Raw genomic sequence first — 21,605 nt, forward strand, 5'->3', positions numbered from 1 at the left:
AGTGCTGGGATTACAGGCGTGAGCCACCGCGCCCGGCCTAAATCTATCTCTTAATCAACCACTAAGATTATTTTACATATACACCATAATGGCCCAGTCACTCAATCTCCCAAATTCTTCATTGGCTTTTGTTAACCGCACACATCAAATACAAACATTTCCCACCTGCTACATGGACCTCTAACTGAATAAATCCCAAGCAGTCACTCCTAAATTTACCATTTACCTCAGCACACAGCTTCAGTTTCACCTAATCAGAAATTAGTTACTCTCTGTGACATACCTATCCTCCTTCTCAAAGCTCTACTCAGTCCTTGGAGACAGAAGTATTTGCCTTGGAAGAGGGGAGACCACTGAGAACTCCCTGTGCTCTCTTTGATTCTCTCATAGCCTCCCTCTTCGTATCTCTCACTTCAAAAGAAGCTGAAAATGTTTCTACTTCTAACATGAAACAATCTATGTACTATCATCTTAGATGTGTAAAGAACATGTTTTTAACATGCCATTGCTCAACTCTTTAAAAAGTCATACTATTATTAAGACCATGTAACAACATGGAAAAGTGTCCATGGTTATGTTCATTGAAAAAGAACACTGAAGGTTATTATACATATTGAGTGTTAGGCTTATGGGGTGATGTCCCTTCAAATTTGTGTTCATATGTTTATATATTAGGAGTGATGGATATGTTTGCTATCTTGATTGTACACCTTAAATATGTGACATTTATTGTATGTCCTCAATAAAGGTGTTGGCCAGGCACTGTGACTCAAGCTTATAATCCAGCACTTTGGGAGGCTGAGGCAGGAGGATCCTTTGAGCGCAGGAGTTAGAGACCAGACTGGGCAATATGGCAAGACCCCATCTCTATTTTTTTAAAGCTGTTAAAATGTTATATATTGTATTAAATATTTGATAAGCTATGTGTCTTAGTTGTTCCTGCTGCTACAACAAAATACCTTAGACTGAGTAATTTATAAACATGAGTGTACTGCTCACAGCTCTGGAGGCTGGGGAAGTCCAAGATCAAATTGCCAACAGATATGGTGTTTGGTGAGGGCATGCTGTTCATGGATGGCACCTTCTATTTGTCCTCATATGGCAGAAGGGCAAAAGGAGCAAGCTCCCCTGACCTAACCACCTCTCAAAGCCCCTACCCTCTTAATACCATCACCTTGGGGGTAGGTTTCAACCTAAGAATCTTGGGAGCATACACATATTCAGACCATAGCACTATGGCAGAATGACATAACCACAAGCCTTAAGCATGTAAGGGCAGCTTATAAGAGCTAGGGGATAGGGGATCACAGAGAGTAATTTGCACCAGGAAGTAACTCGAAGGATGGATTTCAAAAGGAAAAAACTAGAAGCAGTGAGGGGCACAGGGATAAGACATAAAGAGAAATCCTCCACTCCAGCACCCCCACCATGGCCCAGTTTACAGAACCTTCTCAACTTGAAACAGAAAAACTTGCAAGTTAAGGCTTTAAAAGTAGGGGAACTTTTTATTACAGAAAAGGTTCTGGATTATGCTAAAATGCAAAAGAAAGGCAGATAGAATTTTTCAAGACACTAGAGTTCTTACTACGGATTTAAGAGATCTCTGAAAAAACAGGCTTAGAGAAAAATAAAACAAAGGTGGTTTTAATTTTGTCTATAATTAGCAAAGTAAATTCATTCCCTTGTTTTTCTAAATTATATTTCCCAATTTTTCTGTTTGGCTTAATATTGGTAAAAATGCTTCCTCTAAGGCTGTTAGATTACAGGCTATCTCATTTATGTTGTTGAGCTCACCAGTACTAACCTGGTGACTGAGAAAAGAAAAAAAGAAATTAAGTCTTTATCAGCAAAGACTCATAATTTCACTTGTATATTCAAAAATATGATAATACTTCCATTAACAAATTTTTCTTTTTTTTAGATTCAGGGGTATGCAGGTTTGTTACACAGGTACACTGCATGATGCTGAGGTTTGGGCTTCCTGCCCCCCAAGTTGTGAACATAGTACCCGACAAGTAGTGTTTTTTTGTTGGGTTTTTTTTTTTTTTTTGAGACGGAGTCTTGCTCTGTCGCCCAGGCTGGAGTGCAGTGGTGCAATCTCGGCTCACTGCAAGCTCCGCCTCCTGGGTTCACACCATTCTCCTGCCTCAGCCTCCTGAGTAGCTGGGATTACAGGCGCCTGCCACCACGCCCGGCTAATTTTTTTCTTGTATTTTTAGTAGAGATGTGGTTTCACTGTGTTAGCCAGGATGGTCTCGCTCTCCTGACCTTGTGATCCACCTACATCGGCCTCCCAAAGTGCTGGGATTACAGGCGTAAGCCACCGGGCCCAGTCAGTACCCGATAAGTAGTTTTTCACTCTTGACTTCCTCCCCTGCTTTTGGAATCCCCAGTGTTTATTGTTCCCATCTTTGTGTCTGTGTGTAACCAATGTTTAGCTCCTACTTATAAGTGAGAACATGCGGTTATTTGGTTTTTTGTTTCTATATTAATTTGCTTAGGCTAACGGCCTCCAGCTGCAAAGAACATGATTTTGTTCTTTTTTATGGCTGCAACAAATCTCTTGAAAAACATAAAAACTTTAAATACTAAAAGCTTCATAGGTTGGGTACAGTGGCTGATGTCTATAATTCCAGCACTTTGGGAGGCCAAGGCAGGAGAATTGCTTAAGGCCAGGAGTTCAAGACCAGCCTGGGCAACACAGCAAGACCCTGTCTTTAGAAAAAAAAAATTTAAGATTAGCTGGTAGAGGAAGAAAAGGACAAAGAAATATTTTAAAAATAAATATGGCCAGGCATGGTGCCTCACACCTGTAATCCCAGCATTTTGGGAGGCTGAGGCAGACAGATCACTTGAGGTCAGAAGTTTGAGACCAGCCTGGCCAACATGGTGAAACCGCGTCTATACTAAAACTATAAGAATTAGCTGGGTGGGGTGGTAGGCGCCTGTAATACCAGCTACTTGGGAGGCTGAGGAAGGAGAATCGCTTGAACCTGGGAGGCAGAAGTTGCAGTGAGCTGAGATTGCACCACTGCATTCCAACCTGGGCGACAGAGTAAGACCCTGCCACTAAATCAATCAACAAATAAATAAATAAATAAATAAATATTTTAAAAATAAATAAAAATTCCCCAGGTGTGGTGGTGCAGGTCTGTAATCTTAGCTACAACCTGTCCTAGACAATGAAAGGATGCTGTGATCTCAACACTGGACTCTATCCACCGGGGATGAAGAAGCCCAGATTAAGGTCCCCTAAAAGGAAAATGCCCCAGGATTCTGCTTTTGTTATCTGTCACAGGGTTGATTCTTCCCAGGTCACAATCTTACATGGTTTCTACATCACTGCATCACCAAATAAGTGGGAAAGCTAAGGACTATGTGCTCACCTAACCTGGTGGGATGTGAAACAGCTGACCCCTTAATGTGACAGATAGAGCTCATGGTGGAGAACTGTGGTCAACAATGGGGATGTCAGATGTTCGGAATTCCAGTGTCCCTATTCTCACACATAACCTGTTCCTGAAAAGCATGTGAAAGCAGAAGAGCTGAGCGATAGACTTAATTTCAAAATGGGTTTTCATTCCAAGAGTCAAAAGATATGAAAAATCCTTAGGCTATGAATGTTTAGTTTTAAAAGCTAGGGTATAAGCAATCATTTAAAACAAGATAAAGTAAATATGAAATGCAGATAAAGTTAATTTTCTTAAATTCTTAGCTCAAATTCTAGTCTTCTTGGCACACCTAAAGCAATATTTAGCAGACAAAAATAATTTTTAAAAAACTGCTCAGAGACTTTGCAAGAAATGAGATGTTGTCTTACCAATTTTCTTTAAGAAATATCTTAAGACATAGTTGAACTCCTGCCTTTTCTTCTTTTTAAAAAAAGAAGTCGTGCAAGCTACATTCCTCCACAAACTCTATGGTCCTGTCAATATAACAGATTACTAAAACAGTCAACACGTTTCCTGTATTTTTGTTTATTTTTTGAGATGGAATTTCGCTCTTGTTGCCCAGGCTGCAGTGTAATGACATGATCTCAGCTCACCCCAACCTCCACCTCCTGGGTTCAAGCGATTCTCAGCCTCCCAACTAGCTAGGATTACAGGCATGTGCCAACGTGCCCGGCTAATTGTTTGTATTTTTAGAGAGACAGGGTTTCACCATGTTGGTCAGACTGGTCTCAAACTCCTGACCCCAGGTGATCCACCCACCTCGGCCTCCCAAAGTGCTGGGATTACAGGCATGAGCCACCACACCTGGCCTCCTGTATTTTTTAAATATAACTTAATTTTGCTATTGTCCTCTTTAGTTGAATTATCATAGTAGATATCCATTGCCAGCATTCCTTCTTCCATTTTAGAACTCTGTTCCTTCTACCCATTGGTGCCCACCACAGTACCTCATCCCCCATTAAAGAAGAAGGGACAAAGATGCAAGTTGGACTTTACCAGTCTTTTTCAGGATTTTCCTCCCTGAAGATTACAGGAAACATCCTTTGACTCTCCATTTATGAAAGCTGGAATAATGGGAATCTAGAAAAACCATGAAGAAAGACTGCAGGGAAAAAAAATAAAGCTAAGCAAATATGAAAGAGTCCTATTTAACCAAAATGGTCAGCTCTGTTCTCATCTTTGAGGTCCTCAAGCTGCCCTAGCTCCAGCAACTCTCACTTTGCCTCTACCAGGAGAACTAACTTGAGTTTCTATCAGTGCCAACAAAAAAATCTTGTCTGATAAACAGTCAGCTTAAGTACAAACTGGGTATCGTTCTACTGAGGTTAAATGCTACAGTTTGAATGTATGTGTCTCTCCAAAATCCCTATGTTGAAACTAATCACCAAGGTGATGATATTGCAAGGTGGGGCCTTTGGGAGGTGAATAGGTCACAAGGCCTCCAACCTCGTGAATGGCATTTATGCCCTTAAAAAAGAGCTAGGCCCTCCTGCCTTTGTGCCTTCTACCATGTGAGAATGCAGCAACAAGGCGCCATCTATGAAGCAGAGAGCAGCATTCAACCAAACACTGAATCTCTTGGCAACTTAATATTGGGCTTCCCAGGCTCCAAAACTGTGAGAAATAAATTTGTGTTTATAAATTACCCAGTCTAAGATGTTGTGTTATAGCAGCAAGAACAGACTACAACACCAAAGAATTACCACTTTTGGAAAACCAAGTGACTTCCATCTTTATCTCAACTGTGTTAGCATTAACATTTCCTTTCTTCTATTCTCTAGTTATTTTTATAAAGGCAAAACCACAATAGCGTTCAAATAAATACACTACAAAGGCACTGATACTAGTGAAAATGAGCTGAGTGGACAAGTTGTATCACCATGCAATACAGTTCAAATCATTGTCAGCTGACATATGAGACACTAAACTGAGAAAGAGGAATGGTATTTCACGACACAAGTACATATCATATGAGAAAAACACACAAATAAAATCCTCTAGTGAGAATTTTTGTTCTCAGTCATTGGGAAGGAAATAGGTAAACTTTCTTCTGGCCTATCAAAAGAAAAATTATGGGCTCTACAGTTTACAAAATGAGAAAGACAGTTTTAATACAATGTGTCTTAAATTGATATTATTTATAATTTAGCCCCCTGCGTTATTTTTATGTCTGAAACTTTGGGAAAAATGTTACTGAAACACCTAAGTATAAACTTGTATGAAAATATCACAACACCCTGATTTGGACACGTGGTATTTAAAGTGCCTATTAGTTATACAAAGAGAATTAAGATGCCAGCTTATTTATCTAGGGCTCAGGAGCAAGAGCCAGGTAAAAAATAAATCTAGGAATAAGCAGCACACAGGTTGTAAAGCCCAGGGAGTAACATTGTGGAGGAGGGGAAGACTGATGGGGAGAAGAAAATGAAAAGGGAGGAAAGGAACAAGATACAGCCAATGAGATAAGGAGAGAACCAAGGGAGCTTAAAATCACTGCAAAGTGGCTCGAGGCCAGAATGGTCAACTGTGCTGAGTGCTGTTATGAGGCCAGAGGAGACCAGATAAGACCTCCCTGTTATCAACTTTCAGTAGGAATGGTGTCCCCTGACCCTCCTTCTATTCAGGGAGAAAATTTTCCATACTTAATACTAAATTATCTAACAAGTTCTTAGGGAAAAGCTACTTTACCTCCAGAGTTGTTAATGATTTCCTAGCTAAAGAAGTAGCAGTGACTCAGGCTACATCTAATTAGCACCCCTGGACAAGGTGGCTACTGAATGTAACTTTCAGACGCCTCCAGACACACCAAGCCCAGTGGTGGAGTGGAGAAGAGAGCCAAACCTACCCCAGCTCTCAAGGGAAATGTCATGTGAAACATACACTGTTTTGTCCCCTACCAACTTATAAACATACACTGTTTTGTCCCCCACCAACTTATCAAAATAATTAAGGGGGCTGAAAAGCAGAAAAGGGCAGTTACTTCATGTTTCCAAAAGAATTCACCTTAACTGGGCAAAACAGAATATAAGCAGCTGAAGGGGCAGAAACTGGTAAACCAGGCTTTCCTTCTTTCTAATCCAATCTCAACCACGATTATAATTCTGGGTGTAATTCAGGATAGAAGCTCAGCAGAGCTGTAAATCAATTCTTCTTAGATTTAAAGGTCAGCATCAAAACATTCCCTCCTATTGCTGGCTGAGGTGAAATGGACACTCCATATATTTGCTGGCTGGCATGAAAACTGGTACAACACTTTTGGAAAGCATTTTGGCAATAAGATTCAAGAGCTTTTAAAATCGTTTCTATTCCTTCAGGGATCTAATACTATTTCTGGAAATCCATCTTAAGGAATTAGTCTGCAATTAGGAGGGGAAAAAAACCTTTGGGTTCATGAAAGCATTATTCATTACACAAAATCCCTGTAAACCACATAAATAGCCATTTTAAAGGAAGTAAGTAAATTACAGTGAAATATGCAACTAATAAAATTCTAAGTTTTTAAAAAACATAGAAAATGCAAAACATATCAAATGAACAAGGCAAAAAATGTATCAAGTATAATCACACATATATAAATGCACAAAAATAAAAGAAGAACATTTTTTTAAAAGATGGTGCAACTAGGCCGGGCACAGTGGCTCACGCCTGGAATCCCAGCACTTTGGGAGGCCAAGGTGGGCAGATCACCTGAGGTCAGGAGTTCGAGACCAGCCTCAACATGGAAAAACCCCATCTCTACTAAAAATACAAAAATAGCCGGGCGTGGTGGTGCATGCCTGTAATCCCAGCTACTCGGGAGGCTGAAGCAGAGAACTGCTTGAACCTGGGAGGCGGAGGTTGTGGTGAGTGGAGATCGCGTCATTGCACTCCAACCTGGGCAACAAGAGCGAAACTCCGTCTCAAAAAAAAAAAAAAAAGATGGTGCAACTGTGAACAGATATGAAAAGCAAACTGACTAGAGAGTAAGTCTGGTTGAGCAAGACAGAAATATGGGCCAAGCGCAGTGGCTTACAACTGTAATCCCAGGACTTTGGGAGGCCGAGGCGGGCAGATAACGAGGTCAAGAGTTCGGGACCAGCCTGGCCAACATGGTAAAACCCCATCTCTACTAAGAATACAAAAATTAGATGGGCGTGGTGGACAGTGCCTGTAACACCAGCTACTTGGGAAGCTGGGTCAGGAGAATCGCTTGAATCCGGGAGGCAGAGGTTGCAGTGAGCCGAGATCACGCCACTGCACTTCAGCCTGGGTGACAGAGCAAGACTCCATCTCGGAAGAAAGAAAAGAAGGCAGGGAAAGGCTGGGCGCTGTGGCTCACGCCTATAATCCCAGCACTTTGGGAGGCCAAGGCAGGTGGATCATTTGAGGTCAGGAATTCGTGACCAGCCTGGCCAACATGGTGAAACCCCACCTCTACTAAAAATGCAAAAATCAGCCAGGTGGTAGTGGAGTGCACCTGTAATCCCAGCTACTCGGGAGGCTGAGGTAGGAGAATTGCTTGAATCTGGGAAGCGGAGGTTGCAGTGAGCCGAGATCATGCCACTGCACTCCAGCCTGGGCAACAGAGTGAGACACTGTCCCAGAAAAAAAAAAAAAAGTAGAAGGTGGGGAAAAAAAATCAAAGGAAAGTAAGCTCCTTAAGGATGCTTAAGAATGGTAGTAGAGATATTACATGGCAGAAAAAAAGCAGAGTCTGCAAAAACTCATCCCTATTCATCAATTGGAAGTTAATGACTCCTTGCAATGTTTTTCTCCCTTTTTACTCCTCCCTATTGCTCTTTATTCTAAACTGCCAATACTACAATTAACTCCAGATTATTCGTGAAAAAGAAGATCATAAATTTAGAGAATACTAAGTGGATGATCCAATGCCAACTGGCTTTAGTCTTTGGATGGCATCATATTAAAATTCTCTAACAGCAAGTGTACCTTCCTATTTACATTAAATGACCAGAAAATGATTTGCATTCTCTATTGGAAGGAATGGCATGAAAAATGGTCCAGAAACAAACTGAAAAAGGAAAGTAAGTCCTTTCTATATAATTAACCATAATATGTATAATTTCATATACAAATAACACAATATAAAATAACATAAACTGCATCCTTTTGAAATATTTAGAAAAAAAATGTCTAGAAGATTGCAGGGATTTATAGCCAAACTAAATTTGTTAACAGTCCAAAATGCTGTTAAACTGTATTAACTTTACTTGGAAAAGCTACAGAAAGTAATTTTTTTTTTAAATCAATGCTCTTAACCACTAAACAAAAAAGAAAGTAATTCCAAAAGAGGGTAACATAGCATAATAGTTGAGAGCACAGAAGAGTTGGACTGTTGGTGTTTGAATTCCGGCTCCACTAATTACTACTTTTGTGTTCCTTTTTGTGCCTCACTCTTCTCATTTGGAACAAAAGTACTTCTCGTACATATAGGGTTCTTACGAAGATTAAACGAATTAAAGGATTTAGAAGACAGTCTGGACTAAGTTACTAAATGGGATGCAAAAGGTTGTTATCCAGGAGATGAACAGTTGATATTTGCACAACTATGTGAAACACTCGAAATGGTTAAAATTGTAAATTTTGTGTTATATATATTTTATCACAATTTTTAGAAGGCTATTAGCCATCACCCATTTGCTATAAAGGCATTTTAATTTCTCCTGGCAGAAAATAAATTATCATACATGAGACTTCATACAAGTTTAGGGTTCCTATTTAAAAAACTTTATCAATAAAAGGGTTTTTTGGGTTCATGTTTTTCATAAATAAATTTAAAAATAATATGATGTGCTTACAATAAACTTCTGATGTTCAAATTATACAACTTGAATTCTCAAGCTAAAATTTACTCTTTGGAAGTTGGCAATATTACCCCTGTTACAGCAACAAAACAAAAATACACTGCTCTAACCTGAAACAACTTGGAAACAGATCTATAAACCCTTTGAACACTAGCATTTTATTGTATCTTCTAGTAAGTACAGAAAGACTTCACCGACCTTAAATATAACCAATTACAAATAGCAACAAAATTTTTTAAATGCTTGTTTTAAAATAAAACCTTGCAAACTAGCCCCAAACCACTTCTCTCAGATTACAAAATGAGCATGTGGTGAAAAGGGACAGAGAATACCAATTTACTATACCCTATACTGACTGACAATTTTTGTTGCATAGCAACAAGATTCTGCAGTCTGAAAACAGCACAGAACTCCTTTTCTTGATTTGCCAAGCCACAATTAACCCCACCAAGGCTGAGAAGTATGCAAAACAAATCTGTACAAAGGCCAGGGACTTTGGCTCATGCCTGTAATCCCAGCACTTTGGGAGGCGCATGGATCACCTGAGGTCAGGAGTTTGAGACCAGCCTGACCAACATATAGTGAAACTGTCTCTACTATAAAAAAAAAAAAAAATTGGCTGGACGTGGTGGCACACGCCTGTAGTCCCAGCTACTTGGGAAGCTGAGGCAAGAGAATCACTTGAACTTGGAAGGCGGAGGTTGCGGTGAGCTGAGATCGCACCACTACACTCCAGCCTGAGTGACAGAGCAAGACACCATCTCTCAAAAAAAAAAAAAAAAAAGGCATAAACTAATATCCAATATTAAAAGTCTAATGATATAAATTCTAAAACTATAAAATCACAAGCCCAAATTCCAGCCTATTTACAACTTGAAAGTATTAATATGCCTTCACTCTCAAAGTTTCTCCATGTACCAGCAAAAAGTGCCAGTGCTCATTTTTGGACTACATTTCTTTTGAAAGCATCATCTAGCAAGAGTTAGTTGTTTTGTTTTGTTTTGTTTTTTTAATCCTAGGTAATAGCATACCCACAGATTTTGTTTCCTAATTTTAAAGACATCATTTGATCCCTTCAGTTTATTTTCTAAAAATTATAATTTATAAGAAAAGACTATAATGTCTTAACAGTTTAAGTTTTTCTCCTACTCACAATTTGTTTGTACTATTTTTATGGATTGCCTTTGTAGGTAACTAGTAACAATTCACAAAACATTTTTGTTTTTTCACAAAATTCTACTTCACCTAGAGAACAAAAAACAAGATTGCAGTTATTCTTGCGGTAGCTTTAAATACTTTCATTGTTTAGAGGTTTCCTCCTTTATTTTGAGAATGTTAAATGGCTGCCAATCTCCGCCTAAGAAACAGATTAAATAGAGAAAACATCTATGTAGAACAGTGGTTCTCAGCTGGGTGCAGGGGCTCACACCTGTAATCCCAGCACTTTGGGAGGCCAAAGCGGGCAGATCACCTGAGGTCAGGAATTCAAGACCAGCCTGGCCAAGTGGAGAAATCCCATCTCTACTGAAAATACAAAAATTAGTTGGGCATAGTGGCAGGCGCCTGTAATCTCAGCTACTCAGGAGACTGAGGCAGGAGAATCTCTTGAACCTAGGAGGCGGAGGCTGCAGAGAGCCAAGATCACGCCATGGCACTCCAACCTGGGTGACACAGCGAGACTCCGTCTCAAAAAAAAAAAAAAAAAGTGGTTCTCAACATTTCCAAAGATGAAAAGACCTTTTAACTTCATGAATAATTGCTCTACTTTTAATACTGTATATGTTGACTGAAAAAATGTGATTTAAAAGCACATTATATTTGCAAGCTTTTAAATGAATCTATACATTATCAGAAAAGCATCTACATATAGTTGAAATATAATGCATGTAAAGGCTGGCATCTTTGGATTACAGACAAATCTTGCTATACCTAGGGGTTCAACTATTCTTTAAAGGAATGGCGCAGACGCCCCCCAGGGCTCACAAACTGGAAGTCATTAATCCAGTGGAAAAGTTCAAATTATTTTGAATAAAACACTTAGGGTAAGGTGCATATAGGCTTGGAAATGAGACAAAGCTGGGTTCAGGTCTAGGTGCCACTACTTACTAACCATGCAGGCTTGACATTAATGAAGACATGTTCCCTGTATGGTGGCTTACGGACTGGAAGACATAATGTACAGGAAGTATGTGGCATGTTAGTTCTGTTCCTTAAACTGTCACTCAAAGTCTTTTTTTTTTTTTTGAGATGGAGTCTTGCTCTGTCGCCCAGTGCCCAGGCTGAAGTGCAGTGGCGCAATCTCGGCTCACTGTAAGCTCCACCTCCCAGGTTCACACCATTCTCCTGCCTCAGCCTCCTGAATAGCTGGAACTACAGGCACCTGCCACCACACCTGGCTAATTTTTTTTTTTTTTGTATTTTTATTAGAGACGGGGTTTCACCATGTTAGCGAGGATGGTCTTGATCTCCTGACCTCGTGATCCACCTGCCTCTGCCTCCCGAAGTGCTGGGATTACAGGTGTGAGCCACCGCACCCAGCCAACTGTCACTCAAAGTCTTTAACACCCCAGCCCAACTGCCATTATTTCCTACTGCTTCCAACACAAACTCCAACATGAGACTTGAGACAGCATTGGATGTGATCTTAAGGATGAAAAATGAAATTTGAGAAACAGCATTGAAAGGTAAAATAAGAGGCTATAGAAAGTATTAAGAGCAAGGACTTTGGAGTTACGCAGGACTTAGATCTGAATTTCAGCTGTCATTTATCTACTGTATGACTCCAGCCAAGTCACTTAAGTATCCTAAGCCTTGGTTTCCTACACTGTAAAACAGCAATGACGACATGAATCTCATGGCTTATTCGAATCCATTAAATGAAATGATCCATGTGAAGTTGCCTGGCCTATCTTTAAATATTCAACAAATAATATCTATTAATATTATTTATCAAAGTTATCATATATAATTGGTTAGACCACTTAATTTGCACCAGGTGTGAACAAACATTACCCAAAGGTTAGCCTCAGAGATGCTCTGGTCTGTGGCGAAGGACTTATACCCTGTGGCATGCATGTTTTGGATATTCAGCTATGAGGCCTCTGGATCAGTAAGGACATTTAATATCAGGTCTTTGGAACTCAAAAGCTAATCTTTAAAAATAAGTTTATTTTAAGTATTTGCAATAAATTAACAATGAAGTACCTCAACTTCTTTAAAAGTGTTTTATTTTTTCCATTTCACTTACGTTAAAATTCAAAAGCTGATTTTTTTTCTTTAGTCAGTTCCAATTTATAAATGAGCTTATGATTTTTAGGATACAAACTGATTTTCTTTCTTGAAACTGCTTATAAATTGTGGTTGGGGTACTAGGCTAGTCTATTAAAGTCTAAGCAACCAAACAGATATGTGCATTTTGTAATAAAAGTAGGAAACGGCATGAATGCCACCTCATCTCACTTAAAGCATTTAAGAGTTTAAAATATGTTGAACATATTTTTTAAAATGTGTAACTTATATAGTAGTTGCTGACATTTTACAGAATTTAAAGAGGTTCTCCAAGAGTGATTTTAGCCCTCATAAACATCTGGCAGTATGTAGAGACATTCTGGTTGTCTCTTCTGGGAGAGAAAGGTTAAGGTGTGTACTACTGGTATTTGGTGGGTACAAACTAGGGATACTGCTGAACATCCCACAATTCACAGTACAACCCTGTAACAGGGAATTATCTGGCCCCAAACATCAATAATGTTGAGGTTGAGAAACTCTGAAAGTAGGCACTGATGTTTTAAGAAAAAAACACTAAACTCTCTTTGAAAAGACCTGCGAATATCATTTCCCTAGTGTCATTTGAAAAGATTATCCCTTCTCTCAGGAGAAAGTTCTTGTCACTGTCATCAAAAATCTATTGAATGTGAGGGTTTACTGGGCTCTCTATTCTATTCACTGGTCTGTAGGTCTGGTCTATAGGTATGTCCTTACTATGCCTTACTATGCCTTTACCTGTTTTGATTACTGTAACTGCAAAGTTAAGTTTTGAAATCGGGAAGTGTCTCCTCCAACTCTGTTCTTTCTCAAGATTATTTTGGCTATTTGGGGTCCCTTGAAATTCCATATGAATTATTTTTGCAAAAAACGCCATTGGGATTTTGATAAGGATTACGTTGTGTCTGCATATCAATTTAAGTAGTACTGTCACCTTAACAATATCAAGTCTTATCAACTATCACATCTTAACAATTATCAAGTCAATATCAAATTTATGAAGACAAAGTCTTTTTATTTATTGAAGTCTTTTCTTTCAACAATATTTTATAGTTTCAGTGTACAAGTCTTTTACTTCCTTGGTTAAATTTATTCCTAGGTGTTTATTTCTTTAGATGCTACTGTAAGTGAAATTGTTTTTATATAAAATTTATTTTTAAAGAAACAGTCTATGTTGCCCAGGCTGGTCTCAAATTCCTGGCCTCAAGTGATCCTCCCATCATAGCCTCCCAAATTGCTGGGAATTATAGGCACAAGCCACCACACCTAGCCTGAAACTGGTTTAATTTTTTTCAGTTGTTTATCGTAGGTGTATAGAAATAACTGATTTTTGTGTGACGATCTTGTACCCTGCAACTTTGCTGAAGTCGTTCATTAGCTCCAGCTGCTTTACTGTGGAATCTTTGCATATATTTATTTTTATTGTGTACATGCATGTCTCCCTCTGTATCTGTCACCTGAGACAATTAGTTCATCTGACTAATGAGAGAGATGAATGAGACCACTGTGGTCCATACTCAAAGAGGAAACTCAGGCAAGAAGTTGATGTTGAAGTCCTAACCCTCAGTATATCACAATGTGACCTCTTTTACAAGCAGGGTCTTTGCAGATGTAATTAGTTAAGATGAGGTCACACCAGAGTAGAGTGGACCCCTTAATCCAATATGGCTGGTGTCTTTATAAGAGGAAGAAAACATCAACTGAAGACAGACAGGAAAAGACAGCCATGTGACTGCAGAAGCATGAGACTGAAGTGATGGACCTAGAAGCCCAGGAATGCCAAAGACTGCCAGCAAACCCAAGCCAGAGAAAGCAATTCTGCCTCAAAACTGTAATACAGAAATCCTCCTGTTTTGAGTTTCCAGCTTACTGACTTGCTCTGCAAATTTCAGACTCAAGATGCAACATCAATTCTTGCCTGAGTTTCCAGCCTGCCTGTTGGCCTTACAATTTTCAGACTTACCAGCTCCCATAATCATGTAAGCCAATTCCTTTAAATAAACAAATACTGGTTCTGTTTCTCTAGAGAACCCTGGCTAATAATGATAGGAGCATTTATGAAAACAGGGGAAGAGTAGATGTGGAGGTCACAAAAAATTAACTGCCTACCTCAGAAGTGTACCCAAGATCTGCATAAATTTATGTAAAGTTTTTGTAAAGCCCTTACTGTATTAGTTTCTAATTTTAGTTAACTTTTTACAGACTCAGAAAAAACTAACAGTCAATATGTTACAGGGAAACAGAACTGCTGACTGGGTGACAAGATTCTTATTTTGTATAACATTTCCAGGCAGGAAAAATAAAACCAAATATATTTGATGTCTTGTCTTTATATTTTCAAGTGCATATTGAAAATTTTGGTTAAAATGTTATACCATGACACCTTCACTTTGTCACTTACCAAAACATCCTATGTACAATATAAAATTGTTTAAAGTACTGTCCCAATACCTTTATTAAAAATCAGATGATTTAGCTAAAGAATAAAATGAGGGTGCAGTGGCTCACAGCCGTAATTCCAGCACTTTGGAAGACTGAGGTGGGAGGATCGTTAGAAGCCAGGAATTTGAGACCAACCTGGGCAACACAGCAAGACACTCATCTCTACAACAAATAAAGAATAAAATGAGAAGGCCAAAAACAATCAATAGTCATGAGTTTAGTTTTTTAATTTATTCAAAAAAGTTATTAATAGTGTCTCATTGAACCCAGCATGATATAAAGTGTTCAGAGAAATGTGTCATGAGTTTATACTCCGTTTTTTTAAGGGAAAAATGTATGTATGACACACCAAAAGAGCTAGTCGACAAAAACTATGAAAAGAGAGAGACTCAGCCTGGAACAATCACTAAAGACAAACCAGAAGAGGAAACTAAAGCAAGAATGGGATTGAGGTGAGCACAGAGAAGGCAGCTTTCCAGAAGACAGACAGAATAAAAGTAATGAAACCGCAACTTCACTGGTACCTTTGGAAAACAATAAACGACCATTCTGAAGTGAATTCACATGGGGAGTATTGAAAGGCACTGCTGAACTGTTTCTCGAGGGCCCTGAATGCCAAGTTAAGACATCTCTTCTGTGTGCTCCAGGGTGCAGGGGAAGGTTTCTTCAGTAGATTTTTTTTTTGTTTTCTGTTGTTGTTGCTTGGTTGTGAGACAGGGTCTCACTCTGTCGCCCAGGCTGGAGTGAAGTGGTGCAATCTCTGCTCACTGCAACCTCTGTCTCCCGGGTTCTAACTATTCTCATGCCTCAGCCTCCCGAGTAGCTGGGATTATAGGCATGCGCCATCACGCCCAGCTAATTTTTGTATTTTTAGTAGAGACGGGGTTTCACCAGTTAGCCAGGCTGGTCTAGAACTCCTGGCCTCAAATGATCCACCCGCCTCAGCCTCCCAAAGTGCTGGGATTACAGGCGTGAGCCACCGTGCATGGCCTTTTTTTCAGGAGAAAGTTTAGACAGGATGGCTGACCACACGGGAACCACACATTATGAAGGGAAGGTAGGGTGACAGATCTAGGGGGAGAACTTAGTTCTAAGTAATGCAAATAACCATTCTATGTCTGGGTGCTGGTTTTTAATTTAAATATTCATCTTAAATTATAAACATCATTTTAAAATACAGGTACTCTAAGAATTTAACTGGCTATTTGCTTTCAGAGTGCCTAAAAAACAGAAACTTTCATATTAAGTTAAAAAAGGCAACAGTGGGTGTGATGGCAGGTGCCTATAGTCCCAGCTACTTAGGAAGCCGAGGTGCAAGGATGGCTTGAGCCCAGGAGTTCCAGGTTGCAGTGAGCTATGATCGCGCCACTGCATTTCAGCCTGTGTAACAGTCAGGCCTTGTCTCAAAACAAGAAAAAGCAAGCAAGCAAAAAGGGCAAAACAACATTCAGAAGCTTGAACTTTATTTTTTGTTTTAATCTCATGGTACAATACAAAGAAAACAATAAACAGAATATGCCCAATCCATAAAAACTCTAACTACATTATAGCAAATTTCAAAACAAGGCAATGAATTATTAATCCCATTTTGCAAAAAAAGAAATTAAGGTTTGGGAAAGTCAAGGTCTCACAGCCAGTAAATAGCAGAATGGCTCTGAAGTCAATGCTGATTCTATTAAACTTGACTAACCCCAAAATGCAAACACCTTGAAAAAAAAGCAGCCTCAACATTCCAGGCTCAAGTGATCCTCCTACCTCAATCTCCTGAGTATAGCTAGGACTACAGGTGTGCACCACCACACCCAGCTAATATTATTTTTTGTATTTTTTGTAGAGATAGACCATGTTGCCTAAGCTGGTCTTGAACTCTTGGGCTCAACTGATCCACCCACCTCGGCCTCCCAAACTGCTGGGATTATAGGCATGAGCCACTATGCTCTGCCAGCTCTTGAAAATTAATGTCTCCTCCCCCACTAAACTGTAAGTCTAAGGCAATGGGTCATACCTATGCACATTTTTACTTTTTTGTAAGTTATTGTTGAGGATTTTTCTTATTGGGTCATTTTACTTACTTTGGAATCACTGAGAAAGTAAAATTGTGCAGGACTTAGGCCATAATGAGGAGGAGCTTAGTGGAGCTTGGTCTTAATTCCAAGAGCAATGGGAAGGCACTGAAGTAGTTCAGACTCAAGGCTGAGCTGATCAAATCTAAATTTCATAAAGATCTAACGGCTCACAGCTAACAGATTGCATAGGAATAATAGACCAATGCAATAAATTAGAGAATCTATAACGACATATATGTAAAAATGTAATACAGAACAAAATAGGTACAAGGGTCTTAAAATCAAAGTTCATTATCAGACACAGAAGTTGCCAGGGAAGCAAAAGTATTCTTAACACAAAAATATCCGCTAATGAACTAAACATTTATAATATCAGTCCCCATTAAACATCCCTCCCAAAGCAGCATTAGCCTCTATGTCAGGCCATTTCACCTTTGCCCTGTCAGTCTCTCAATGATTGACAGGTTATTTCAATTACAAAGCAACACAATGCATATCATCTACAAAGTGAAAGTGCAAACATTCCAAAAGATGTAGGCCTTTATGAAGTCACTGAAAATGATGAAAACTCTTTACAAAGCAACTGAAAAAAATGAGTATTTGGAAAGATACTGACTGGGAAGGGGCATGAGGGAACTTAATGGCCTAAGTGTGTTCTATATCCAGACCTGGTTGGTGGCTACACAGGTATGTATACATAGTAAAAATGTACCAAGCTATATGTATACATGATTTATGCATTTAGCTGTATGTAAATGATACCTTAAGAGAGCTGCTATGGTTTGAATCTTGAAACTCATGTTGAAATTTAACTGTAACAGTACTAAGAAGTGATTCGGCCATGGGCATTCCACCCCCATCAATCGATTAATAACATTATGATGGGAGTGGGTTAGTTACCACAGGAATTCAACCCCTTTTTTCTGTTTTGAGCATACACCATCTTGCTCTGAGATGCCTTCCACCATGTTATGAGACAGCAAGAAGGCCCTCACCAGATGCAACCCCTTGATCTTGGACTTCTCAGCCTCCGAACTGTGAACCACATAAATCTCTTTCCTTTATAAATTACCCAGTCTGTGGTATCTGTTATAGCAGCACAAAATGGACTATGGCGGGATTAAACACACACACACACACACACACACACACACACACACACAAGAAGGATGGTCCTACTTCCTCCAAGAATTACTGGGTCTCAATGTGAATCCTGGAAGCCCTATGGTCCACTTGTTACCAATATAAAGATGACTGAACACCAAAGATGGCAAAATGTACCCGTGTCCTCAAAGACATCAGTGACCCACTGACTGTAGTATGTGTGGAGTCTACCTTACCTCTGGACCTCTAATTATATGGGATAAATTTTCTCAATATTTAAGCACTTTAAGTCTTAAACAGTTACTTGGAGCTGAAAGCATTTTAACAGATTGTAAATTAATAACTGGAGAACTAACAAAGATGAGATTACCAGGAGGTCAAAAGAAAATCTGAAAATCAAAGTTAGGAAAACTAATGAAGCCCTTGAATATTTTGGCAAAAAGGACTGTCTTTATGATCATACTGCAAAAGTCCATCATAACATGGATAGTTTCATGTGATCTTACAATTTTCTCAGAAAAATTATGTAAAATTTTTTAAGCAACCAACACTTGATTCATTCTTCTTTCATTCTAATAATTTAACACATAGTTGCAACCATAACATGAATGTTTTCATAGTTTTGTTTCATTTTTCAAGATTAAACCCAAATAAAGCCTTTTCTCCCCACCCCAACTATGTACTATTATCTCTGAAATGTTCTAGGTCAATTCATCCTACAAGATCTTGTTCTTACGCCAATTATTTTCAGAAAGTAAAGACCCCCTAAACAATGAAATCACAAGGAAAAATAAATTACTCACTCACACATTAACATTTGGAAAATTCAAATATAAGCTTCAGTTCAAAAGTTAACCATTACAAACAGTTATGTATGAGAGCTTACTGGTTAAAAACCATGGGCTCTGGAACCTGACTGCCTGAGATGGAATCCCAGTTCCACTCTCTACTAACTGGGTGACCCTGGGCAAGTCACTTAACTCTCTGTGGCTTAATTTCCTCATCTATAAAATGGAGATAACAGTTCTATCAGTGTTAAATGAGTTAATAAAGGTTTCATACAGTAAGTACTCAATAACAGCGATTACATTTTTTTTAAACTCTAAGAAAACTGAAGAATATAAATGCCAACACTGAAATTAAGTTAATTAGCAAAGGAAAAACATTTTTAAAAACACAAGCTTTATGGTTTAAATACAAGTACATACTTTTTTTTTTTTTTTTTTTTGAGACAGAGTCTCGTTCTGTTGCCCAGGCTGGAGTGCAATGGCGCGATCTCGGCTCACTGCAAGCTCCGCCTCCCGAGTAGCTGGGACTACAGGCGCCCGCCACCACGCCTGACTAATTTTTTGTATTTTTAGTAGAGACAGGGTTTCACCGTGTTAGCCAGGATGGTCTCAATATCCTGACCTCGTGATCCACCCGCCTCAGCCTCCCAAAGTGCTGGGATTACAGGCATGAGCCACCGCGCCCGGCCAAATACAAGTACACACATTTTAAATAAAATTAAGACAAAGAAAAATGAGAACAAATGTACTTAACGATAAAAAAGAAAGCTAAAAGCATATTATATATGCTTTTATATGATGTCTATATAGTAAAAAATTATGCATTTTCCTTCTAAACATGTTTTTTTAAAGGTACCATGTCGAACCCATTAAACTAGAAACTAAGCCAAGCACTGTGGTTCAGTAATCCCAGCACTTTGGGAGGTCAAGGCAAACAGATCACTCAAGGCCAAGAGTTGAAGACTAACTTGAGCAACACAGCAAGACTCCATCTCTAAAAAAAAAAAAAAAAAAAAGTTTTTAATTAAAAAAAACCAATGAGTTGCCGCACACTTCACTAAAGATAAAATTTTAAATCTTAATATACAGATGAAAAAAAGAATGGAAAACTCAGTATTACCGAAGATACAAGGCTGAACATGGTGGCTCATGTTTGTAATCCTAGCACTTTAGGAGGCTGAGGCGGGCAGATCACGTGAGGTCCGGAGTTCGAGACCAGCCTGGCCAACATGATGAAACCCCATCTCTACTAAAAACACAAAAAAAGCTGGACGCCGTGGCTCACACCTGTAATCCCAGCACTTTGGGAGGCCGAGGCAGGCAGATCACCTGAGGTCAGGAGTTCAAGACCAGCCCGGCCAACATGGTGAAACCCTGTCTCTACTAAAAATACAAAAATTACCTGGGCGTGGTCTCGTGCATCTGTAATTCCAGCTACTTGGGAGGCTGAGGCAGGAGAATCACTTGAACCCGGGAAGCAGAGGTTGCAGTGAGCCAAGACTGCACCACTGCACTCCGGCCTGGGGGACACAGCAAGACTCCATCTCAAAAATAAAAATAAGAACAAATACAAAAAAATTAGCCAGGCATGGTGACGCACACCTGTAATCCTAGCTACTCAGGAGACTGAAATGGGAGGACTGTTTGAACCCAGGAGGCAGAGGTTGCAGTGAGCCGAAATCGCATGACTGCACACACTCCAGCCTGGGTGAGAAAGAGTGAGACTCCATCTCAGGAAAAAAAAAAAAAAAAAGAAGATACATATAGTAAAGTTTACATTATGACCACCAATGAATCGCACCTCTTGATCTGTCCTTGTGTAATCACCTCCCCCACTGACTTTGGGCTTGACCATATGACTTGTTTTGGCCAAAGAAACATAAGCAAACAGGATGCAAGCTGAGGTCTGGTAAGAGCTTTCATACTAGGGCATGTTGTCATGAGGAGGCTGCTATTGTTAAGTGAGCGATGAGGCAGAGGGATGGGATAGACACACCAGATGAACCTAAGTGAAGGAAAACACACGAATGAGTCCAGGTAAGAAGAGCTGCCCAGCCAATCCGTAGCACATCTGCAGTCTCAGCTACTCAGGAAGCTGAGGTGGGAGGATCACTTGAGCCCAGGAGTTCGAGGTTGCAGTAAGCTATGATTGTACCACTGCACTCCAGCCCGGGTAACAGCTTTACTAGGCTTTGAGATGCTTTGTTAAACAGCAGTAATATCGGATACGATATATGTATATGCACTATGAAGAGTTAATATCCTCATTATTATAAATCATTAGAAGAAAAACTACACATCTCATTGGGAAAACAGAAAAAGCACATGAACAGACATCCACACAAAAATAAAGCTGTCCAATAAACAAACAAAGAGACCCTACAGGTAATCAAAGAAATACAAATTAAACCAATGAGGTAACACCTTTTACCTATCACATTGGCAAAGATTAAAAGACCGATAATGGCCTGAGCTGGCCAGAATGTGGGGTAACTAGAAATCTCATCTACTCTTGCTTATCTGGTAACGTGTATCAAAAACTGATACAACTCCCTTTAGTCATTTTGTTTATTATTCACTCAAATACTTATGCATACTCACAGAGGCCTGTGCTGGGAACTTGGAATGCAGAGCCAGGTCACGCAAGACCTTAATAATTTTGGTTTTATGACAAATTTGGGTTTT

The 21,605-nt window shown here is 39.4% G+C and overlaps 1 protein-coding gene across 34 annotated transcripts in view; it reads right to left on the reverse strand.

Annotated features, from left to right (window-relative positions):
- Positions 1-21,605, reverse strand: part of ENAH (ENAH actin regulator) — a 167,050-nt gene that overhangs the window by 134,725 nt on the left and 10,720 nt on the right. The window lies entirely within an intron of this gene.

This window comes from Homo sapiens, chromosome 1 (genome assembly GCF_000001405.40).
Source record: "Homo sapiens chromosome 1, GRCh38.p14 Primary Assembly".
NCBI classification, from domain to species: domain Eukaryota; kingdom Metazoa; phylum Chordata; class Mammalia; order Primates; family Hominidae; genus Homo; species Homo sapiens.